Source organism: Homo sapiens, chromosome 18 (assembly GCF_000001405.40).
Source record: "Homo sapiens chromosome 18, GRCh38.p14 Primary Assembly".
NCBI lineage: Eukaryota > Metazoa > Chordata > Mammalia > Primates > Hominidae > Homo > Homo sapiens.
In genome coordinates this window covers 21038040-21063720 of record NC_000018.10, presented here as the reverse complement: position 1 = coordinate 21063720, position 25681 = coordinate 21038040, and the positions used below count along the sequence as shown (strand labels likewise).

At 36.5% G+C, this 25681-nt stretch overlaps 1 protein-coding gene across 1 annotated transcript in view; it reads left to right on the top strand.

The window, feature by feature from the left end:
* Positions 1-25681, top strand: part of ROCK1 (Rho associated coiled-coil containing protein kinase 1) — a 164908-nt gene that overhangs the window by 48093 nt on the left and 91134 nt on the right. Inside the window, exons 3-9 of the mRNA NM_005406.3 lie at positions 13841-13941; positions 14492-14629; positions 18254-18429; positions 19535-19619; positions 21012-21156; positions 21486-21624; positions 24158-24249. Coding sequence (NP_005397.1) covers positions 13841-13941; positions 14492-14629; positions 18254-18429; positions 19535-19619; positions 21012-21156; positions 21486-21624; positions 24158-24249 — 876 coding nt within the window. The remainder of the gene's footprint in view (positions 1-13840; positions 13942-14491; positions 14630-18253; positions 18430-19534; positions 19620-21011; positions 21157-21485; positions 21625-24157; positions 24250-25681) is intronic.

Sequence of the window (25681 nt, the reverse complement as noted above, 5' to 3'; positions counted from 1 at the left end):
ATAATACATCTACTTTTGCCTATGTACAGTTACCTACGTTGCTGCCAGAGGATTCTTTTTGAATAGTAAATTTAAGTCAAATTCCATTCCCAGCTTTTTGGTGGATTTTCTAAACTTGATGCTATCTAAGCTTCTAAATTACATTCTTAACTGTACACCTCTCCTCCTTGTTTCCTTACACATCAGCTACACGCTGACATTTATTTCCTGGAAAGTACCATGACACCTCCATAAGACTTTTCAGATGTTGTTTTTCTCTTTCTAGAATTCTTTCCAACCCACCCAACTCAAAGCAGTCATCCTTTAAATTTCAAATAAGCCTTCATTTTTGTTCCCTAACCTCTTGGTTATCTAGGCTTCATGGATCTGACCTTCTGAGCATGTACTTCTATGGCATCTTGTATACTTATCACAGGTTATATTTATTTGTATGACTATTTAATTGGTACCTGCTGTGGTTTGAATGCCCCCACCAAAACTCATTAAAGTTTAATTGCCAGTGCTAGTAGGTGGGGACGTTAAGAAGTGATTAGGTCATGTGGGTTCCACCCCCATGAATGGATTAATGCTGTTATTGTGGGAAGGGGTTATAAAAGTGAGCTCTTGTGCATGTATGCTCTTACTCTTCCACTTGTCTACCATTGAATGACCCTTGCCAGATGCCCTTTTTTCTTTTATAAATTACCCATTCTGTGGTATTCTGTTATAGCAGCAAAAAACAGACTAAGACAGTATCCATTCTCCTTTTTCTCCTTCTCCTGTCACTAGATTTTAAGTGCCATGAGAGCAGGGGCATTTATGTTTTTACTGCCAAACCTGACAGCATAGTAAGTACTTGTTATATATGAGCTCAGTGCATTAGACGTTGGATACTGACTTGTTAGAGATGATCTAGAAAGTCCAGGTGGTCTCTGACTTTAAAATTTCCAGCTTTATGAGGGTTTCATTGGAACATAACTCCATCATAAATCTAGGCACATCACTGGTGATGTTAACGCTTATCATTTGGTTTAAGGTAGTGTCTGGCAAGCTTCTCCACTAGTAAGTTACCATTTTCTTTTTCCAAACGCTGTGGAGGGGAGCGTATTCCCTTTCCATACTCTCCTGGAGGGGAGACTTTACACGTATTATTTGGAATTCTGTAGGGAAGATTTGCCTTTTCTCCCCCATTTATTAATTTAGTCATTGATTTATATAATATAAACTGCATATATTTATTTCATACTTTGGGTTGTAATCCAGTAGTGTGTTATTTATTAGGTTGGTGCAAAAGTAATTGCAGTTTTTGCCACTATTTTTAGCAAAAATCTCAATTGCTTTTGCACCAACCTAATACTTTGTTACTTAAATTGTTCTCATTTTTGCCTTTTGGGAGCTCCTTCAGGTTGGACCCAGCTCCTACTCCTGTGTTCTTTGACATGTTCTTACTTTTTTTAAAAAAAGGAACACTTCTTTACTTTCTGGCATTACACGATGCTCCAGGCTCATCTTATATTTTCCCTCAGCCCTGAAATCAGCCATTTTTTCCAAGGAGCTCTGGTTCCTTTTATTGGAGAATGATATTTAGAAACCAAGATCTGGGTGCTAGGTGTGCTTATTGCTACTGGTGATCACTGTTTCAAGGCCCTCTCAGCTGCCATAGCTAGGAAATATATGTATGCATGTATACCAGCCTGTGACTATACACATAACTATAATTCTATACCTGTACACATGTTAAACGTGTTTAGACTGATATTACCAGCTCTAAACTAGTATCACAAGATTCATTCTAGCTTTTGCCCTTGCCTGTTTGTAACTTTTTTTCTCTGATGATGAGAAACCTGGCTCCCATTATTGGTATTTACTTACTCAACCCTAATATTCATGTAAAATAAACCATACACCCTGTGAGAAATGGATTTACCAACTGGAACACAATATCTTTGTACAGTTCCTTTTTTGTCTTTAGCCTTAGTTTCCAGCTAAAACAGTTTTCCAGCATTACGTAGTTCAGCTTCTTTTCCCTCACCACCTTCAATGAGGGCATGTCATCTTGTTAGTCATACATTTAGATTCATTTGTTAGAATCTGGATTCCATCCTGAGATCCCCCAGAATCCCAATTGATTTTTTAAATTTGCATAAAGTGTGTATAGTTCTGTGGGTCTTAACAAACACATAGTCTTGTCTGCAACACCCCAATACCATTCGGAACAGTTCCATCACCCCCACTCCTGGGAAACACTGATCTCTTTTTCTGTTCCTATAGTTTTACCTTTTCCAGAATGTCATTAAATGGAATCATACAGTGTATAGCCTTTTGATTCTGTCTTTTTTTCACTTAGCAAAAATGCATTTAAGGCTGGGCACAGTGGCTCTTGCCTGTAAGCCCAGCACCTTGGGAGGCTGAAGCGGGCAGATCACCTGAGATCAGGAGTTCAAGACCAGCCTGGCCAACATGACAAAACCCCGTCTGTATTAAAAAATACGAAAATTAGCCGGGTATGGTGGCAGGTGCCTATAATTCCAGCTACTTGGGAGGCTGAGGCAGGAGAATCAATTAAACCTGGGAAGTGGAGGTTGCAGTGAGCCAAGATTGCGCCATTGCACTCCAGCCTGGGTGACAGAGCAAGACTCTGCCTTGAAAAAAAAAAAAAAATAAAAGCATTTAAGATTCCTTCATGTTGTCCATGTTGTGTGAAGTAGTTGCTTTTTCCTTTTTTCCCCTAAATTGCAGAGCAACCTTCTATTGAATGGATATACCTTGGTTTGTTTGTTCATTCCTCTGTTGAAGAACATATTCGTTATTTCCTGTTTGGGGCAATTATGAATAAAGCTGCCGTAAATATTCGTGTACAAGTTTTTGCATGAATTTAGGTTTTTTTTTTTTTTTTTTTTTTGAGATGGAGTTTCGCTCTTCTCGCCCAGGCTGGAGTGCAATGGCACAATCTCAGCTCATGGCAACCTCCACCTCCCAGGTTCAAGCAGTTCTCCTGCCTCAGCCTCCCTAGTAGATGGGATTACAGGCATGCGCCACAATGCCCGGCTAATTTTGTATTTTTAGTAGAGACAGGGTTTCTCCATGTTGGTCAGGCTGATCTTAAATTCCCGACCTCAGGTGCTCTGTCTGCCTCGGCCTCCCAAAGTGCTGGAATTACAGGCGTGAGCCACCGTGCCGGCCATGAATTTAGTTTGAAATTCACTTGGGCAGATATGTAAATACACAGATGTAGCATTGCTAGGTTGTTTGCTAAGAACAGGTTTAACTTCTTAAGAAACTGCCAAACTGTCTTCCAAAGTGGCTATACCATTTTATTATACATTCCCACCAACAATGAATGAGAGTTTCTGTTGTTGTGCATCCTTGCCGCATTTGCTACTGTCAATTTTCATTTGCATAATGTCTTTCATAGAGCAAAAATTTTAATTTTGATGAAATCTAACTTATATTTCTGCATTGATTGTGCTTTTTGTGTCATATAAAAATCATTGCCAAACTCAAGATTGATTTTTTAAAGCAACTTTATTAAGTTATCATTTACATGCTATAAAATTCACCCGTTTGAAGTATACAATTCAGTGAGCTTTTTGGGTGTATGTGTATTTTCAGAGTTGTGCAACCATTACCACAGTTGCTTTTACAACATTTTCATCACTTCGTAAGGTAACCTCATACCCATTAACAGTCAGTCTCCATTTCTCTCCAGGCTTCCAGCCCTAGACAACCACTAATCTATTTTCTGTCTCTATAGATTTGCCGACTCTATAGAGACATTTCCTATAGAAGGAATCATCAATAAAATGGTCTTTTGTGACTGCCTTCTTTGGCTTAGCATGTTTTCATTGTTCATAGTGTTATACCATGTGTCAGTATTTCATTTTTAATTGCCAGTAATATTCCATTGTATGGATATACCACATTTTGTTTATCTGCTTATCAGCTGATGGACATTTGTATTGATTCTCTTTTGGCTTTTATGAATAATGCTGCTATGAACATTTGTGTAGAAGTTTTTGTGTAGACATATGTTTTTATTGTTCTTGCGTAGATACCTAGAAGTGGAATTGGTGGGTCATATGGTAATTCTATATTTAACATTTTGAGAAACTCAAGATGGATTTTTAAATATATACTTTTATTACTTTGGAGTAAATATATATGGCTTTTCTGTTGTTCCTGAATAGATAAATGCAGCATGTGTTTATCTCCATTTGTATATAATGTCATTAAGTGTTTTTAATATTTCAGTAGCATCGAGCACAAGTATAATCTCTATCCTTAAGGATTGTGGGGACATACAACGTAATAGAAGAAACAGACCTATAGAAACAATTCCAGTTCAGATTGTTAGGTGAAATATAGGGAAATAATGTCCCAGAGAAGGGAGTCATACCTTGTGCTTGAGAGGGAATCAGGAATGTCTAAAGAGGAGATAAAAGATTAGATCTTGTTTAATAGTAACTTGGTCAGATAAGGTGGTGGGGGAAGTCATTTTAGGCTAGTGATAACATCTGGAAAGGCACAGAGAGATGAAGCAGTATGGGCTTATATAGATAATTGCAAATAACTAGGCATTGCTAGAGCATGGTTGTGGGGAGTATCTTATCTAGAACTATAAGACTGGACAGTCACTAATGATATATATATATTTTTTTGCCATGTTGAGGAGTTTGAATTTAGGAGTCTGGATTTTTTATATTTATTTTTTGTTGATCTGTTTATCAAACTGGATTACTCTGTGTGTATGTGGGTGGGTGGATGCGTGCCTATGTGCCTATGCAGTCAAAATGTAGCACATCTTCCTAGAGTGTGATTTTATTTGAACATTTGGACATGAAATAATTTTCTTAATTAAAACAGTGCTGGTTGCAGTGGCTCACATCTGTAATCTCAGCACTTTCGGAGGCCGAGGCAGGTAGATCACTTGAGCCCAGGAGTTCGAGATCGGCCTGGGCAACATGGCAAAACTGTGTCTCTGCAAAAATACAAAAATTAGTTGTGCATGGTGTTGTGTGCCTATAGTCCCGGCTACTTGGGAGGCTGCGGTGGGAGAATCGCTTGAACTCCGAGGTGGAGGTTGCAGTGAGCTGAGATTGCATGACAGCGTGAGACCCTGTCTCAAGGAAAAAGAAAAGAAAAATCAGATTTTTATGGAATTGAATATAACATTCTTGTGAATTTTTCAAATAAGTTTAATTTTTGAGCTTTTTAGGGCTGCTTTCACTACTCTAAAAGTATGCAATGTATACTGGGCTTTTTTAGGCAGAGTAGCAGTATTCTGGTCAAACAGTACAAGGTACATAATGTTTATTATGATATTTTACCTATTGTGACATTTAAAAAAACTTTGAACATTTTTGAAATTAGAATGTATCTTAGAATCTCTAGTGGTACATAAAGTAATGGTACGTTTTATAATCTAGGATCTTAGGGTAGGCAAAATACATCTTTTGTTTTTTTCATTAGAAAAGCAACAAAGGGTCATTATAAAAAACTTAAAATATATAGAAAATGTGGCAGAATAATCTGTAGTCTCACCAAACTCAGAGATGACTGCAGTTATTGTTTTGGCATATTTTCTTCTGGCCTTTAAAAAAATCCATATCTGTGTATCAGTATATAATTATGTTTTTAGAAAATCAAGTTCATATACTGTATACAGTTTGTTCTATTTCTTTGCACAACATTATATGCTGAACATAATTCTATGTAATTAAATATTCAACACAATTTTAAATGTTACCTAATACTCTATGTATATGAAATTATTTGCTCTTTAAAATTGTAAAAACTACTTTATTGTAGATATCTTGGTCCCACATTGTATCTCATTTCCTTAGGATAAATTCCTAGAAGTAAAATTTACTGGGTATAAAGTTGATTTTTATTTATTTTTAATTTAATTTAATTTTTTTCTTGATACAGAGTCTCGGTCAGTCACCCAGGCTGGAGTGCAGTGGCCCAAACTCGGCTTACTGCAACCTCCACCTCTTGAGTTCAAGTGATTCTTATGCCTCAGCCTCCTGATTAGCTGGGATTACAGGCGCCCACCACCGTGCCGGCTAATTTTTGTGTTTTTAGTAGAGACGGGGTTTTGCCATGTTGGCCAGGCTGGTCTTGAACTCCTGACCTCAAGCAATCCGCCTGCCTTGGCCTCCTGAAGTGCTGGGATTATAGGCGTGAGTCACAGCGCCTGGCCAATTTTTAAAACAGTATTAGGAAAAATCATCCATTTGCTTTCTTGAAAATTAGATTGAAGAGTTTATATATGATTGAAATGCTTTTGAATTTTTGGTAACCCAGAAGCTGTAAGTTAGCCTTTTTGCACTGGCCCTTTTGCTAACTTGTGATCATTTGGAGAAAGATTAACTCTAAACGACTAGCTCTAATGATTAGCTAGTTAGTGGTTGTCAAGACTGTGGTTCCTATTTATGACTCAATTTGCTCATTTTATTTCTTGCTGAATATGTTGCATAGTAGTATTTCACTTCTCTGAATCTTAGCTTTCTGCCAGCATCACCTGACTCAATATAGTTGACAATCAGAAATTGCTAAAAGAGTCTAGATGGTCACAACATCCTATTTGGAGGTTTTAGAATGAAGGAAGACTTACCAGATTTGTGATTTTGCAAATATTATTTTGCATAAAACTAATTTTGTGAATAACAAAGAGGTCAAAATCTGCCATAGGAAAAGATACAACAGTTTAAGAAGGATCGGAAGTTCTGAGAAGTTTGCTGTTTTAGGTAAGGTGGCCAGGGTAGGCCTTGTTAAAAGGTGACATTTGAAAAAAGAGTTGAAGTAGTTGAGGGAGTTAGCCATGTGGATGTCTGAGGGAAGAGAGTGGCATACAGAGGAGCAGCTAGTGCAAAGGCCTGAAGGGAGGAGAGTGTACCTGGCCTGTTTGAAGAACATCAAGGAAGCCAGTGTGGCTGGAGAGGATTAGGCAAGGGGGAGAATTGTAGGATGATATCATAGAGGTAAGGAAATGGGGAGGCTAGGTCATGTAGAGTCTTGTAGGCCATTGTAAAATCTTGGGCTTTTGCTCTGGGTGAGATGGCAAGACATTAGAGACTTTTGAGCAGAGAAGTGACATGATCTGACTTGTGTTTTAAGAACATCACCCTATGTTGAGAATAGACACAGGGCAATCAGTTAAGAGTCTATCACAGTAATCCAAGGAAGAGATGATGGTGACTTGGTCTAGCATGGTAGCAATGTAGAGGGTGAGAAGCTATCAGATTACAGATATATTTCAAAGAGAGAGCCAACATATTTTCCTGAAAGATAGGATGTGGAGTGTAAGAAAAAAAGGAGTCAAGAATGCCCCCTAGGTTTTTGTCCTGAGCAAAATTGAGCCATCGGCCAAAGTGTGGGACACATAGGTATAAGTTTTGGGTGAGAATATTTCTTCAGTTTTTGGCACATTAAATTTGAGATGTTTTTCAAAAGAGGATATATTTTGAAAGTAATTGAATAGATAAGTTTGAAGTTTAAGAGAGACATGTAGACTAGAGATAAAAATTTGGAAGTTGATATGTAGATGGTTTTTAAAGCCCACCAGAGAAGTGAGTGTAGATAGAGAAGAAGTCACCATTGAGGGCTGAGCCTTGGAATGCTCCAGTGTTAAGAAATCTGAGAGAAGGGGAGGAACCAGCCAAGGCAACTGAAAACTACTAAGGTTGAAAAGTAAAATCTTCAGTATTGTTGGAAGAATGTTGTGTCCTGAAAGTCAAGTAAAGAAAGTGTATCAGGAGAGAGTGATTGAAGTGTTAAAGCCACTGATATATCAAGATGAGGGCTGAGAATTGGTCATTGGATTTAGCAACATGATGCTCATTTGTGACTTTGACAAGTAGTTTTGAAAGAAAGGTAAGAGCCGACCTGAAGTGGATTTTAGAGCAAATAGTAGGAAAGATTTAGTCACAGAAATTATAGACAACTTTTGAGAAATTTTGCTGCAGTGGGGAGTTGAGTAATGGGACAGTAGCTGCTGAGAGAAATGAGATCAAGAGTTTTTTTTTGTTTCCCTAAGATGGGAGAGAAAACAGCATGGTGGGATCCGGTTAGGAGGGGTAAAGCTTAGTAATAGAGGAGAAAGGGGAGAATTGCTTGAGCAATGTCCTTGAACTACAGTAATGAAAAAGGATGACATCTAGTGCATGAGTGGAGGGTTTAAGTTAAGATAGAAGTAGTCTCCCATAGTAAAATATGAAAAGACAAAATATATGCTTGTACATGCTGATAGTTAAGTGTGTAAGTGGTGGTAAGTCAGTGGTAGTTTTCTTCTGATTGTTTCGTTCGTTTCAGGGTAGTAGCCAAACAAGATCATTAGCTGTGAACGAGGATCAGTGGGAGAGCTGTGGGAGGTGTGTGTGAAGAAAGAAGAAAACTTGAAATACGTCTCTAGGAGAGTGGGAGAGTGACTAGAAATTTAGGATTGCCAAGTAGAACTAAGGGCCAGCTTGATGTTTGTGATTATGAATTTTAAAATAGGATCAGTCATTGTGATTTTATGTATTTATTGAGACATATTCAACTGCATGGGTGCTGACATAGAGTAGTTGGAGAGTTGGATTTAACTATAATAGGATTGTCGTTTTGCCAAACTAAGTAAAGTGAGGCAGAAGAGAGCTCATGACATTAAAGGTATATGCAAGGGAGTGATTATAATAATTGACCATGTAATTTAAGCTGGCTAGGTAGGAAAAAGAGGCTATCAGTGCAACGAGGGAAAGTATGAGTGTAGTAGAATCAATGGATTGGAGGTCCTGGTGGGGTTGGGGTTGTTGGAGTTAAGATGCTAGAGGAACTAAGCAGGAAAGCTATAAGAGAGTGCTTAGAGAGTGTAAGTTTTCTAATTGAAATTGTTGGAAGATTATAATTATGAGTAATGACAAGGTCTAGTATATGACCATGGAAATGAGTGACCAAGGTAAGGTAGAGGACAAGATCATTGAAGGAGAGAAGTATAGGTGTTGAGAGGCCAAGGTACTGTAAGTATTATCTGTGGGTATATTAAAGTTATTAAGAATTAAAACAGGAGAATATTGGAGAGAAGTTCAGTAAATCAGGAAGTAAAACTGTCTAGCGATGAGACGTGGTGACCTCTGAGAGTCAGTAGATTACAGCAACAATGAGAGGTGGGAAATACAACCTAATATAATGAAAATCAAAGCTAGCAGATTTAGGGGTGGGGATGTGGGGGATCTCCCACTTTCAGGGTCGGTTGTCTAAGGCATGTGGAAAAGTAAAGGTCCCCACTTGAGAGCTGTGGGGAAGCAGTGCCCTCAGAAGGCCACTGGGTTTTATTAGAGCAGGAGTTGGTGAACTACAGCCCACAGGCCAAATCTCACCCACCACTGTGGCTCATGAACTAAGCATGTTTTTTGTATTTTTTCATGATTGAAAAAAAAGTCAAAAGAATATATAATTAAAGAATATACAATTGCATATATAAGTTTGAAGTTTAAGAGAGACTAGACTAGAGATAAAAATTTGGAAGTTGATATGTAGATGGTTTTTAAAGCCCATCATGATCATGATGGTGAAATAATGAAACAATATCATGAATGTGAAATAATAGGAAATTCAGATTTCAGTGTCCATAAATAAAGTTTTCTTGGGACGTTGCTACACTTTAAAAAATGTATTGTGTATAGCTGCTTTTGTTCTACAACACCTAAGCTGAGTAGCTACAACAGCGACCATATGTGATGCTCTCCTTGCTTCACACTGCTGCTCAGCACAGTAGAAATCACAGTGATGCTGTTACAGCTTGACAGTTTTGAGTGCTATATGTATCACCATATCACAACATTTTATTTGTTTTCTATTACCAGTACATACGCATGTGTCAAAGCAAGAAGAGAAGAGTATACTTGAAATGTTGTCTTTTTTTTTCCCTCCCCTAAAAGACTGTCACACAGGCAGGAGTGCAGTGGCACATTCATAGCTCACTGCAGCCTTGAACTCCTAGGCTCAAGCAGTCCTTCTGCCTCAGCCTCCCAAGTAGCTGGGACTACAAGTGCATGCCACCATGGGCCTGGCTAATTTTTAAATTTTTTGTAAAGACAAGTCTTGGTATGTTGTCCAGGCTGGTTTCAAACTCCTGGCCTTGAGCAATCCTCCTGCCTCTGTGTCCCAAAGCACTGGGATTACAGGTGTGAGCCATCATGCCCAGCCCAAATGTTGTCCTTTTTGAAGCATAATGGAGAATGGATTATTTTTATCAAGTTAGGTGGCAAAGCATTTTTTTAAATTATGCAATGACAGTATAGCTGTGCTAAAGGAATACAGTGTACTTTGGACATTCCCAGACTAAGCACTCACTATGATCTTCCTGACTCATAGGACAGCAACAGTGAGAAAAAATAGAAAATTTAAAACAGAGTATCTCATCCCAGTAAAATTTCTTCATAAAGAAAAATGTTCATGCAGGCTTGACCAAAAAAAAAAAAGAGGCTGCAATGTTATGTAAGTGTATGAGTGGTTTATTCACTAGCCTAGCAGAGAAAGCTGTTCACTGATGGTGTGTGATTGCAGCAGCCAAACAAATGTGTACAGAGAGAAAAACTTGCCTAAGACTGTTAGCCTTTGGGCAAGAATAGCTGCTCAAAGAATTGGGGGTATTGGGAGTGGCATCAATAGTCAATTAAAAAATAACCAATTTTGAGTTGTTTTCCTTGACTCTTGTTTATTTGAGGAATCAGTGCAGAGTTTGAAGTGACTGAAGAATTAGCCTGTGTATATAGTCTCCCCTTACAGACTTGGGAAAGCTTGGTCTTATTTTCTTTAGAATATGTATCACAATGTGAAATTAAGTTACATATTTATTTATGTACTTATTATTTTTCTTTAGAGCAGCAGTCCCCAAACTTTTTGGCACCAGGGACCAGTTTTGTGGAAGACAGTGTTTCTATGGACAGGATGGGGGTTGGGGGGTGGCAGACGGGATGGTTTTATGAAACTATTCCACCTCAGATCATCAGGCATTAAAAAAAGATTCTCATAAGGAATGTGCAACCTGGATCCCTCGCATGTGCAGTTCACAATAGGGTTTGTGCCCCTGTGAGAATCTAATGCCGCTGCTGATCTGACAGGAGGTGGAGCTCAGATGGTAATGCTTGCCTACCCACTGCTCACCTCATGCTGTGTGGCCCAGTTCCTAATAGGCCATGAACCGGTACAGGTCCACGGCTCAGGGGTTGGGAATCCCTGTTCTAGTGCATGCATTGTTTTCTGTCTCAATGGAGCCATAAGCCTACAAAGTTCAGGCTATATAGTACCCCTAGACCAAGAGTGGGTTTCTTACATGACTACTTTACAATAAATAGGCTTCGTTTAAGATCCTGAGATTTGGGTAGGTGTGAATACATAGTCCTGAGTGTTTGGGAAACTAAAGTCCAATGCTTAGAATTTTACCATTAAGTTCTTTATTAGTTCTAGGTTGGACCCTTGGTGAGATGAACTAGGAAAAGTAGAACCATAGAATCTCTGAGTTTGATTGAAAGCCATCCAACAGAGGCATTTACACTTGTTAGCACGTAAACCTGTATTAGAACAAGCTAGAATCCAAGGCAGTAGAACATAGAAAGATCTTTTAGATTTCAAATGACTTGTCTGCGGTCTTTGTCAAGACTCTACAGCCTATTCTAGCTCATAGCTAGAGCCAAGAATCTTTTTTTCAACGTAACAGGCTATTATATTATCCAGGTTCAGAACTTTCTCTCTCATCTGGGGTATTACAATACTCTTAAAATTCTCCCCACCTCCTGTCTTGACTTTATTGAACTCATCTTCTACGTATTTCCTAGAGTAGTTTTCCTGAAATGTAAGTTTGACTATGTTGTTTTATCCATCATAATTCCTTTTCATGGCTTCCTGCCCATAGTAGTGGTGCTTCTCAGTTCCCAGCAGATTCCAGAGCATTCCTCAGGGACTGTATTATGGAAGAGCCTGAAGTAGATGAGGCTCTGTCTCTTCTCTGACACCTTTAACCTCATTTAGAACAGAGCAGTTTCTTTGATCTATTTCATGTAGAGAGCTACTTTAAACTTTAATGTGAAAACGGTTTTCGGTACTTAAATATTAGTTTTATTACTGTAACTACTGGCTGATAGGTAAAGTTCAAGCTCCTGAACTTACCTGGGGCTCTCCAGCCTCTTCTGTCAGTCCTTACTACAAACTTGATACTCCAGCAACATAGAACTTAGATACAGTTCCTCTGTGCTTGGTTTACATTGCTTGTCTGCTTATATTGTTCACTTGTTCTTTCCTTTTTTTGAGACAGAGTTTCGCTCTGTCGCCCAGACTGGAGTGCACTGGTGTGATCTTGGCTCACTGCAACCTTCACGTCCTGGGCTTAGGTGATCCTCCCACCTCAGCCTCCTGAGTAGCTGGGACTACAGGAAACTGCCACTGCACCCAGCTAATTTTTAAAAAAATATTTTTTGTAGAGACAGGGTTTCATCATGTTTCCCAGGCTGGTCTTGAACTCCTGGACTCATACATTCCGCTTGCCTCAGCTTCCCAAAGTTTTGGGATTACAGGCATGAGCCACCACACCTGGCCTGTTCTTTCTTTCATTCTCTATCATCTAGCTAACCGCTACTATTCAGTTTAGACTTTTTTCAGGTACCATCATTTACAGAAAGTCTTCCTAGCTATCTCTCACCCAGCAGGCTTTAGTTAGGTGTCCTCCTTAGTACTCAAAAAACTGTTTATCTTCCTTATTACATTTTTTGAATTCTTTTTTTCATTGTTTCTGTTTTATTTGCTAGAGTTTGAACTCTTAAAGAATAGGAACTACATTTTAAAGTTATGTTTATTTATCTCCAGTGCTGTACAGCCTGATGTATGGTAGATAGAAATATTTGTGCAGCGAATTAATTGATTATTGTTCATCTTTCTGGTGCATCTTGCAGTGGATATGTAACCTAAAATTAAAGGTACTTATAACTTTGTAGAAATTTGCTCTCTGTTACATGTATTTATTGGTCATAAAGTACACAAACACTTGAGTTTAAATGCATTTGAAAAGGAAAACAAGAATATTAATACAGCTCTTATTAGGAACTGGAACTGAAGTTTAATAGCTGCTGTGTATTTTGTACAACTCTGAAATGTGAAGCTTTTCCATGTAATCTCATGCCAGTGTTGACCCATGTGGATTAAAATAGCCCTATTTTAATCTATGACCAAATTAGGAATTAGAATATCTATCCAGTGGGGATTTGTGAATTATTGTAGTTTGTAGTATGACAAGTTTATATAAATAATTGCAGTGATTTTCACTGTGTGTTTCAAGTTAAAATCTAGGTTCAAATAGAGAAATGTAATGCTATAAGTATTAAAGATTACCAGTTGGAAAATTTACTGTTTTTTTTTTTTTTAGTGTGTTTGCCTTTGATATCTTAAATTACATCTTTTTTTAAAGGATCACTAAAACTGACCTTATAAAAAGAAAAATTTATTCCAGTATTAATCTAAAATATCTACTCATGTTTCCTAAATTCAGATTTGATGTGTACTTAAAATACCAGGAACTAATTAGCTAATTATTTTCAGCTTTTGTTTGTAGTGTAATATTTGTTTTTAAAACATTCTGTTAAGTCAAATTTTGATTAATAAAAACCTTTAGTAGTTGTAATGAAGTTATTCTGGAATTTACTTTAAAAAATCTTAGCAAATTGAACATTTAGCTACTTTATAGCTTCAAGTTTCACCATATTTTCAAATAATTCTTCATGAAGTTTGTTGTTTTTCATTGTGTTTCTTAAGAACTCGAATGTAAAATAAGTAGTGCTAGTTGTAATGCTTTAGTGATTTAAAATGATAAACTTTTCTTTTCATACAGATAAAGACACAATAAATAAAATCAGAGATTTACGAATGAAAGCTGAAGATTATGAAGTAGTGAAGGTGATTGGTAGAGGTGCATTTGGAGAAGTTCAATTGGTAGGTTATTTTAATGAGAATACAAAAGGACTTTATTAAATTAAAATAATCCACTTGTGTGTTTAACATATTATTTGGGAAAATACTGTTTTTATAGAATTGTTGCTTTAAGTTCCTTTAGACATTGTTGCCTGAGGGTATGGAAGCCTAGTGTCAAATCTAGCCATAGTGGGAAGTGTTTTCCCCAAGTATCTGTGGCAGAAAAGAAGTGTCAGGCATCAGAAGATAAATCTTTGCTCCTAATATTAGACTAAAATGCTGTAGAACAGTAAGCTTTATAAACAGGAAGCAGCTTACATAGCCGTGTGGAGGGGGGAAAGTGTCTTGTAATATAGGAAATAAAAATTTTTTTAAAACATTACTTCTGATAATTAAAGTCTTGACATTAGCTACTTGGAATAATTTGGCAGAAGAGAAGAAATAAAAATAACTGAAACAGTAAGGCTAAATTATTTAGCAAGTATTAAAAGCACTTAGTAAATTGTTCTGTGAAACCTTGAGCTTTAAATGTTAACAAAAGGTTCATTATTTTCCCTTTTCAATTTTAAAGGTAAGGCATAAATCCACCAGGAAGGTATATGCTATGAAGCTTCTCAGCAAATTTGAAATGATAAAGAGATCTGATTCTGCTTTTTTCTGGGAAGAAAGGGACATCATGGCTTTTGCCAACAGTCCTTGGGTTGTTCAGGTATGACTTTGCTACTCTTTCATTATTGCTGCATTAGTTTGTAACTAAACATGTCTGAGAAGCTTAGTTTGTGTTTTAGAATAGTAGTAGAGAATTTACTGGCAGTTACAAAATTGTCTAATTACCTTTTAAATCTTAAAATTTAATTGTATTGAATCATTTCTAGCAAGAAAGGCTAGAACAAAATAACCATGCTTCTGTAGAATTTATATATAGGAAATTTAATTTAAATGTAGAATTTGTGCTGGGCGTGATGGCTCATGCCTGTTATCTGAATACTTTGGGAGGACAAGGCGGGAGGATAGCTTGAGCCCAGGGGTTTGAGACCAGCCTGGACAACATAGTGACACCTATCTCTACAAAAAATTAAAAAAATTATTGAGGCATGGTGGTACACGCCTGTGGTTCCAGCTACTGGGGAGGCTGAAGCAGGAGGATTACTTGAGTCCAGGAGGTCGAGGCTATAGTGAGCCGTGTTCACATCACTGCACTCCAGCCTGGGCAACAGAGTGAGACCCTGTCTCAAAAATAAAAATAATAAATATAAAATTTAAATACAGAATTTTAAATTAGATATTTTTAAATACAGAAGATATAGAAAACTTAATCTACTTAGATTTGAGGGAAGTCGTATATTATTAAAATTTAAATAGATACTTTTAGTTAATATTGAATTTTTTTCCCCAAACATGAGGCTCTCATTTTGTTTAGCTGTCTCCTCATTTATCTGTCTCTTATTTTGTGAAGAGGAGATAATAAGAGAAATGAAGGGAAAGTGAGAGGAAACCAAGTTAAGCTAGGTCACCAAATAATACTTGTCTTTCGGTTTTCAGTGGAAAGAAAAACTAGAAGTCAGTAGTTTTAGGTCCTCGTCTTGATTGCCATAGGCCTTTCTCTGAAGCTGTGGCCATGTTACTTAACATCTCTGGGCCACAATTTCCTTGTTCATAAGTCTGAAAGTTGTCTTTGATTGGTTATGTTCAATTGTGGAGGTACCTTAGGCAAAATCATGGGGTCAAGTGGGGTTTTGGGTAGATTATAATTCTGAGTTTTCTCTCTGCTTTTATGAGTTCAGCTTCATGTTTTATCTGTCTTATGTATTGGGATCCTTAATGCAAAATGTCATACGGGGGAAGTTAAACTGGGCTAGACCATTTCTAATTTTCTAACATGTTTTTGTGATTTATTTATAATATATAATGAAGTCTGTCCTTAAAAAGCATACCAGTAATTGGAATTAAAAGGATATGAAAAATGTTGAAGGTTTATGCCATAGCACTTTTTTTTTTTTTTTGAGACGGAGTCTCGCTCTGTCGCCCAGGCCGGAGTGCAATGGTGCGATCTCGGCTCACTGCAAGCAAGCTCTGCCCCCTGAGTTCACGCCATTCTCCTGCCTCAGCCTCCCGAGTAGCTGGGACGACAGGTGCCTGCCACCACGCCCGGCTATTATTTTTTGTATTTTTAGTAGAGACGGGTTTCACTGTGTTAGCCAGCATGGTCTCGATCTCCTGACCTCGTGATCCGCCTGCCTCGGCCTCCCAAAGTGCTGGGATTACAGGTGTGAGCCACCGTGCCCGGTCACCATAGTACTTTTAAACTTGAAATGTCTATGTTTTTACCAACTATGTAGATCAGAGTTTCTCAGGCTTAATACTATTGACATTTTGGGCCAGATAATTCTTTGTTGTTGGGGGCTATCCTTTATATTATTTCAGTTACTAATGTGTTTATTTAGGATGTTTGGCAGCATTCCTGGCCTCTACACAGGGGATGCTAGTAGTGACTCTTCCCACCTCACACACAGTTGTGACAACCAAAAATGTTTTCACCACTAGTTAACAACCACTGATACATGAACGTTCAGTGTCTGTTAGTGAAAAAATATGTGACATAATTGTTACTTTCAGGGCTATTTACAATTTAGGTATTCAGAGCTTTATTTCTCTGGATATATTGTCTATAAATAGGGTGAAACTGTCACCAAATTAACAGTATTTCTTTATGGGGCCCAAATGACAAATTATATACTTTAATCTGGGATAGTCATGAAATGCCACTTTGTTTCTTATCCTTCTCTCTTCCCCCAAAATACATTTTTTACATTAAAATAACTGAGTCTGGGCCGGGTGTGGTGGCCCCCATGCTTGTAATCTGAGCACTTTGAGAGGCTGAGACAGGAAGATCACTTGAGGGCAGGAGTTCAAGACTGGCTCCCAATCTCTACAAAAAAACAAAAAATCAAAACAAAGTAACTGAATCTATAACTAAAATTATTAAACACAGTTGAAAAAAATGAAACATTAAGAAGATTTTAAGACAAACATCTGGGTAAATTAGAGATCATCTTCTCTAGGGCTTGTTTTTTTTAGTTTAATTCTAAACTTCTTGTATTTACTTAAAATGTTATTTTATAAATTTGCCCTTCTTTTTATTTGATCCCCAGTCACATAATATATTTATGCCTGATATCCTCGCTAATTTCACATTAGTGGATTTTGCTGTTACTATTTGAACCCTAGCTGCTGCCTTCCTCCTACTTCTGTGTTAGCTATTACTGCTCCTCCTCCTGACTGCTGTCATTTGTTGAGCATCTGTTGCACTAAGTGCTTTCTATATTCAGTAATCTTTTTTAACAACCCTCAACCCTGAAAGACAGTTAATCTGTTAGGTGCACTGTTACTTTATGGATTAGTTTATGATTTGGTTCATTAAGCCTTTATTAAGCAATTGCTAACCGCCAGGCATCTGGATACTTGACTAAGCAGCAGGTATAAAAGTTAAACGAAGTATAGTCCTTACAGTGTTTTAGAAGAGATTATAGTCTCATAGACTCGGGTAGGTTAAGCAAATTACTAGTCACACAGCTAATAAGAAACAGCTGAGGCCGGGCGCAGTGGCTCATGCCTGTAATCCCAGCATTTTGGGAGGCCAGGGTGGGCGGATCACGAGGTCAGGAGATCGAGACCATCCTGGCTAACACGGTGAAACCCCATCTCTACTAAAAATGCAAAAAATTAGCCGGGCGTGGTAGCGGGTGCCTGTAGTCCCAGCTCCTCGGGAGGCTGAGGTAGGAGAATGGCGTGAACCTGGGAGGCGGAGCTTGCAGTGAGCCGACATCACGCCACTGCACTCCAGCCTGGGCGACAGAGCGAGACTCCGTCTCAAAAAAAAAAAAAAAAAAAAAAAAAAAAACAGCTGAAACTGTAAGCCAAATTTATCAAAGACTTCTTGAGCATTGTGATATTGATATAAATTTAATAGTAGACCCCACTGATGCACAAGTTAAATTAGAAATACAGTATTTCTTTGCCTAGGAGATTTGTATATTTACTGAAAATATTACAGTTTAAAAAAATTCTCAGTAAAAGAAATTCAAATAGTGTAGAAAATTATGAAGAAAGGATATCTCCATGTAACTCTTCTGAATAATTATGTTATAGTCATTTTGCATATACAAGGGTCTTTGTGGCATTTATGTTTGTCTTTTTTTAAAACTAGACTTGCAACTTCTGTAATTTGATTATTTTACTTAAATCTTTTATTAACATTTTTGCCACTTTTTAAGTGAAACAATTTTGTTTAACATTAATGAATGTGTTTTGTTTGTTTTTTCTATTTGTATAGCTTTTTTATGCATTCCAAGATGATCGTTATCTCTACATGGTGATGGAATACATGCCTGGTGGAGATCTTGTAAACTTAATGAGCAACTATGATGTGCCTGAAAAATGGGCACGATTCTATACTGCAGAAGTAGTTCTTGCATTGGATGCAATCCATTCCATGGGTTTTATTCACAGGTAAAGATAAAAGTGCTTTAAATTTTCTCATTTGTTGAGGGAAATAGCTAAAAATAACTTTAACATTTCTTACTCTCAGTTCACCCATTCTTCTTCCGTATGACATAAGTGACCTTTCAGAACTCAAGACTCTGGCCAGGCGCTGCCTCACGCCTGTAATCCCAGAGCTTTGGGAGGCCGAGGCAGGCAGATCTCTTGAGCTCAGGAGTTTGACACCAGCCTGGACAACATGGTGAAACCCATCTCTACAAAAAAAAAAAAAAAAAACACAGGTGTGGTGGCATGCACCTGTGGTCCCAGCTCCTTGGGAGGCTAAGGTGGGAGGATCGCTTGAGCCTGGGAGCAGAGGTTTCAGTGAGCTGAGATCTAGTCACTGCACTTCAGACTGGGTGACAGAGTGAGATTCTATGTCAGGAAGGGGGGAAAAAAAGAACTCCAAACTTTGAAGTTTATAATTTTAGCATTTCAATTTAATGTTGATATAAATGTATTCTTTAATATCCCTTAATCTGATCATATAGCCTTTAAATGGTGTTCTGAAAAGTAAAACTTGTAAACTAGTTTTCTAAGGTATGTGCCAGGAGTTAAACACTTTGATGTTAATTTTTTAAATATGTAACTTAATTTGCTTTTAATTAGTGAATAGGTCGTATTTATTCATTAGACGAATAGTTTCATTTGTTGTACAAACACTGCTTGAATCCTGTGTGCAGTTGCTGTGCCTACATGTCAGGGATCAAAAATGAAAGTGACTTAGACCCTGCCGTGGGGTTTTTTTATGTACTTACCTATCTAATATGTTTCAATCACCTTTTATGTCTGAGTGTTGTATTTTTGATGGTCTGTCTCTCTCAAATGATTTGATTTTCCCTCTGAAAGAATGAAACTTTTAAAAAAGGAATATATATGTTTTCTTCTGAGGCATTAACATATAAAGAAGTTTCTTTGATGAAATTTAATTTATAGATGTGGATAGAGAACACATACAGATCAAAGATGGCCTTACCTAGATTGAGGATGCTTGACCTAAAATAACTGCCTCATATAATTTTTACAGTGTCTAATCTGTTTCAGAAAATACTGTACTATTTTTTCCCTCCTGCAGAGATGTGAAGCCTGATAACATGCTGCTGGATAAATCTGGACATTTGAAGTTAGCAGATTTTGGTACTTGTATGAAGATGAATAAGGTTAATTAACTAGATTTTAATTTAGTTTTTGCTAATTCAAGGTAGATGCTTCTTTAGAAAATGGTTTAAGAATTCTTTAGAAAATGGTGTAAGAATTTACTAACCATAGCTGGACTTGTCCAGAATTAATATGACCTTATTTGTTGAACTAGATACCATGGTTTCAATGTTGTATTAGTAACTTGTTAGTGATTTATTTTTTCCTCTCTATTTAGGGTAAATATGGATTGCCAGATTTACTAAATCCTTCATAACAACTCTAATATACACTACTGGTAACTAGGAATGGAATTAGCTTAAATGTCACTAAATACTTATGCCAGTGTTAAAATTAGACTTTCATAAAAATTGGATTCCAGTAATGTGTGTATTTTTTAGTGTTTTACTTCAGTTAACATATAAAAGATTTTACTGCTTATTTTAGGAGTGAGTCTTAAAAGATACCTATCCTCACTGTTTATATAATAAATAACATATACACAGCTGTATATGTATATACATATTATGTATATGTATATACATATACATTATGTATATGTATATACATATAATAAATAACATAAATAAATATGTTATTTATATAATAAATAACATATACACAGCTGAAGGAGCTGAAGGAGCTGTGTATATGTTATTCCTTCACTTCATATACACAGTGAAGGAAACACTGCATGAGAACTTCTGTATGAACATTTAGTTATAATGCTGTTTCATTAATACCAGCGAATATAGGTAACAGCTAACAAGTCTCTCAGGTTTGTTGGGGGAGGGCAGTTAAAATTCACATCAAATAGACATTCAGTGTGCTTTACACTATTATGCCCTTTTCCCATACATATGCTTCCCCAGTTTGTATTTGTACAGTCAGCTTTTGTATGTTTCTTTTGTAGTTTCAAACATAGTTAAATAGCTATTTTAGTAGAAAATAATGAAGTCAGTGTTTATACCAATATGTTGTAAAATGCCCTATCCTATGAACTCCCCAGTGTATTTGCACTGGCCTGTGTACTTGTTCTCAGCAGTTAAATGGTTTCATGATATTGGCACAACTTGGGGAATAATAAATGTGGCAGTATGTTTTTCTAGTGAGCATTATTACAAAATAATCACTGGTGTGTGTATATATGTGAATACACATATAATGTGTGTGTATATGCATTCACATGTATACACATACATACATTATATGGTATATATGTATATGGTGTGTATATAGTATGTATATATATGATTAAGCTGTGTTAATTTTTGTCAGGTTTCCATTCAGTTTTAATATATGATATTTTATAGCTCAAAGATTTGGAGTCCCATAGGTAATATTAATAAGAAAGTCATTTTAAATAATTGAGACTTTATATCCTAATTCAAAATTTGACCTGCCGCGCTTTTTAGGAAGGCATGGTACGATGTGATACAGCGGTTGGAACACCTGATTATATTTCCCCTGAAGTATTAAAATCCCAAGGTGGTGATGGTTATTATGGAAGAGAATGTGACTGGTGGTCGGTTGGGGTATTTTTATACGAAATGCTTGTAGGTGAGTAAGGAAGATTTTATGTCTCTCTATTACAGTTGTTCATCTCAAAACTTGCCACTTGGCTCTTTCTAATATATTTATTATATTAAGCAATCTTGATTTTATTTGTGGGTAATAAACATGATCCAAACCTGCTTCGTATGTGTTTTTAAAAGCATTTAGAGGCTTAGAGCAACTTTGTGATGTGTTCTTTTATATATTAGGTGTATGTTTTTAGTTTAATACATACCTAATAATCTTTTTAAACGGGTAACTTTGACTCTTCCTTTGAAACTGACTTTTTAAAAATGTATTTCATTTTGCTTTTGTTTTCTTTATCAATTTTTCAGGTGATACACCTTTTTATGCAGATTCTTTGGTTGGAACTTACAGTAAAATTATGAACCATAAAAATTCACTTACCTTTCCTGATGATAATGACATATCAAAAGAAGCAAAAAACCTTATTTGTGCCTTCCTTACTGACAGGTAAATAATTTTAAAACTGAGCCTGTATTAATTCTGAGGACTTCTCATCTTCTGCTCCATTTTTAAGGTCCATATCTGAGCTTCTACATGTAAATTGTTAGAATATAAATGACAGTGAAACCTGATGTAATTTTATGATATTCTAGATGTCTTTTGTAGATCTCAACTCACTTATCATACCTAAGAAATTGTGATAATAATACAGTCTTGGCTGATGGCTAAACTAGATGACTTTTTTCTTTTATTGTTCAATTTTTAACTTGGTTAATTATAAAAATTACTGTGTATTTTACTGAATCTAAAAAAATTTTTTAACATAACATCTCTGAAATTAGAGTACATCTCACAGTCAATGGTATGAGTTGGGAGCATCCTTTTTCATAGTGGTATAAAAACGGTGATACACCTTATACTTTAAACCATTTTAGATTTGATGATGTATGGTATATGGTTGTTGAAAGAGTCAATAGTATAAAGCCATTTTTAAAAGTATACTATCTTTTTTCTTCTAGACATAATAGTTGGTGTTCCATCTTGTAGATCCAACAAGCATTTTAATAATAATGTCTGTCTGCATTTTTGAAAGAAAAATGGCATATTATATATACCTTTGTGGTTTACTTTTGAAATTTGAAAGTGAACCAGATGTATTAGTAAGATTATATTTAATGTTTATGATTGTATATTGTTAAATATTAGGGAGACCTAGTACTTTTAAATATGTTTCAAGTTGAGATTTGCTTTAACTTGTCTCCCTTCATTATGTCCTTTAGAGCTTGAAGTATGGTTTTTCAAATGTTTACTTTTTTTTTTTTTTTTTTTTTTTAAATAGAGACAGGGTTTTGCTCTGTTGCCCAGGCTGGTTTCAAACTCCTGGGATCAAGTGATCCTCCCACTTCAGCTTCCCAAAGTGCTGGGATTACAGGCCTGAGCCACCCATGCCTGGCTAATTTTTACATTGATTGATTGATTGATTGAGACAGAGTCTCACTCTGTTGCCCAGGCTGGAGTGCAGTGGCATGATCTCGGCTCACTGCAACCTCCACCTCCCGGATTCAAGTGATTCTCCTGCCTCAGCCTCCCAAGTAGCTGTGACTACAGGTTCCTGTCACCATGCCTGGCTAATTTTTGTATTTTTGATAGAGAGGGTTTCACTATGTTGGCCAGGCTGGTCTTGAACTCCTGACCTCATGATCTGCCTGCGTTGGCCTCCCAAAGTGCTGGGATTACAGGTGTGAGCCACCGCACCTGGCCAATTTTTACATTTTAATATAAAGCATTGTATTATGCTGTTTATTAGGTGCTAGGGATATAGTAGTGAGGAAGATACAGAGCCACTTTTCTCAAATACCTCATAGTCCTTTGGGGGAATTAGATAAGCAAATCAGACATTTATAGTACACACAGCTAATTACCATGAGATAAGTACCATGTGCCGGAGAACCATGGAGAGGTTTTCTAATCCAGTTTGAGAGTTAGTGAAAGCTTCTTGGAAAAATTGTCACATGTCTAAGCCAACTTATCTTTTAGCTTATGCAAAAACTTAGAATTTAGAGTATTTTCTTTATTTATAAGCACTGTACTAGGGAAAAAAGGTGCTAACTTTCTTTTTCCAATTCAGCTAAAATCACATTTTTAAAAACTTTTTGCTCACCAAAAAAGAGGCTGGTATCAGTAACTTGTCCAGTGAAAGCTCTGAATTCTGTGGCAGTATCAAGAATTAGTAGTCATTGGCTTTTGAATGGTCAGAAATAATTAATAGATTATAAATTGGAAGTTCAAAATTTTAAATGTGTTTCTGGAGGTTTTTGGTAGCATCTGGTATTGCTGCCTAAGTAAAGTTTTGGTTGGGGAAAAAAAAGCCTAACTTTACCATTGTAAGAAAAAAATAACACACACACACAAAAAACTGTCAAGAAAATGCATGGTGCTTTATTCATTTTGCTAATGAAGTAAGGTGGTGATTAATCTGGATTTTTGTTGTCAGTAGAAAAGTCATGGGTGTTTTTTGTAGTTATTCTTTAGTTTTCTTTTTTTTGAGACGGAGTCTCGCTGTGTTTCATCCAGGCTGGAGTGCGGTGGCGCAATCTCAGCTCACTGTAGCCTCTGCCTCCCGGGTTCAAGCGATTCTCCTGTCTCAGCCTCCCAAGTAGCTGGGACTACAGGCGTGTTCCAGTACACCCGCTAGTTTTATATTTTTAGTAGAGATGGGGTTTCACAGTGTTGGCTGGGCTGGTCTCGAACTCCTGACCTCAGGTGATCCACCCCACCTGAGCCTCCCAAAGTGCTGGGATTATAGGCATGAGCCACCATGTCCAGCCTTTCTTTAGTTTTCTTTTAAAAAAATTCTTTAATGTTCTCAATCTTTAACATATTTTCTATTTGGGCTGATACTATGCTGACAATATAATTTCACCTTAGAACTATATTTGTCGTCCTACACTGATTTAATATCCTGCCCACAAATAAACCTGGACAGGTTATAATAAGATCTTAAATGATTGATTACTTTTCTCCTTCTGTCATTATTCAGGGAAGTGAGGTTAGGGCGAAATGGTGTAGAAGAAATCAAACGACATCTCTTCTTCAAAAATGACCAGTGGGCTTGGGAAACGCTCCGAGACAGTAAGTTTTTTTTTTTCTTTCATATTTTAGTGAATATTTGAAAGTAGTTGTGGTAGTTTGTTGAAACTACATTGCTAAATATTTGTGTGTATCTGATGAAAATCAGAAGCCACAAATACTATATGGGAATTGTCCTAACCTATTAATTTGATAATATTGGGCAGATTATATTGTTACTCCTCTTATGTCCCACGCAGGATACCCAGATGAAATATAAATGTAATGGATTTAGGCTCACCAGTCATAATTTTACATTTGATCTTTGTTGAATTGTTCATTTTAGGCGTTAGTTATCTTATTATGGAGGTGGTCAATAAGTAGTAAGTAATGAGATTAAAATATATGTTTTTGTGAGAAGACAAGTTATTCTCTTGTTTTTATTAAAACCCAAAATATAAGAAGGTTCTATTATTAATTCCAGAATTCAATTTAATTTTATTTATGAGTTTATAGGATATTGTGATATACTTGATTCCATCAGGCTTTTGCAGCTGGCAATTCAGAAACAAAAATGTATTGTATAAGAAACTAATTTTCAGTCAGTTTAGAACACTTTCTTACTTTTTAAAAAAAGTTAAAATTACAAGATGATTCACAGAAAACTCTACAACATAGCTGAATCAAAATTATCATGACACCAAAGGTTCTCATCATCTTCGTGGATTTGGGAGGTAAAGAATTCATCTTTCCCCTGCTGACATCTTAGGATTTTTTTCCCTGTTCATCTATCAGAGAAAGGATAATGTATCTCAGTCCCTAACTTGCTGCCTTAGCAATAGCAGTGAATAGTAACAATGGAAATGAACTCAGCTACCTTATTTTAGAAAGTTACACAGTAGTTATTTGTCTTAAGGACTGCCTATCTAGTTGAGACAGTGAAGGATAGTACTTTGCAGAGAGATGGAAATCTTGTTAATTCTGATGAAATAAATCATGTAGGTTTGCTAATATTAGTGAAGCATTCTAGTTATCAAATATTTTAAAAGAACAATTGTATTGCCTTCAAGTACTATAGCACAGTACTTACATTGTGCTGAGCTATAAAATTGTCTAAGGAGGAGAAAGGGAAAATAAATCCTCTGGAAATTAAGAAATTATACAACAAAGAACATCATTGAATGACCAGCTGTCTGAGAAGCTGTAAGAGCAGCTTGACTTTGGGAGAATTTTATTAGCAATTATATACTAGGAAATAAGGAACTTCCTCCTCTTCAGAATTAAATGTGACATAATTATTATCTTCATGCTGCAAGTGAAATTGTTGCATGACAAAGAGATGATCAGGGAGTGAGAAATGGTTACATCAAAACACTTTTTGTGTTTTTATTCAGGTTATTCTCTTAGTAAAGTTTAAGAAGGCTGAAGACGTACAAATATTATTATAAATCTGAATAAAACTTTGAAGGGGACTGAAGAAAATACAAAATAATAT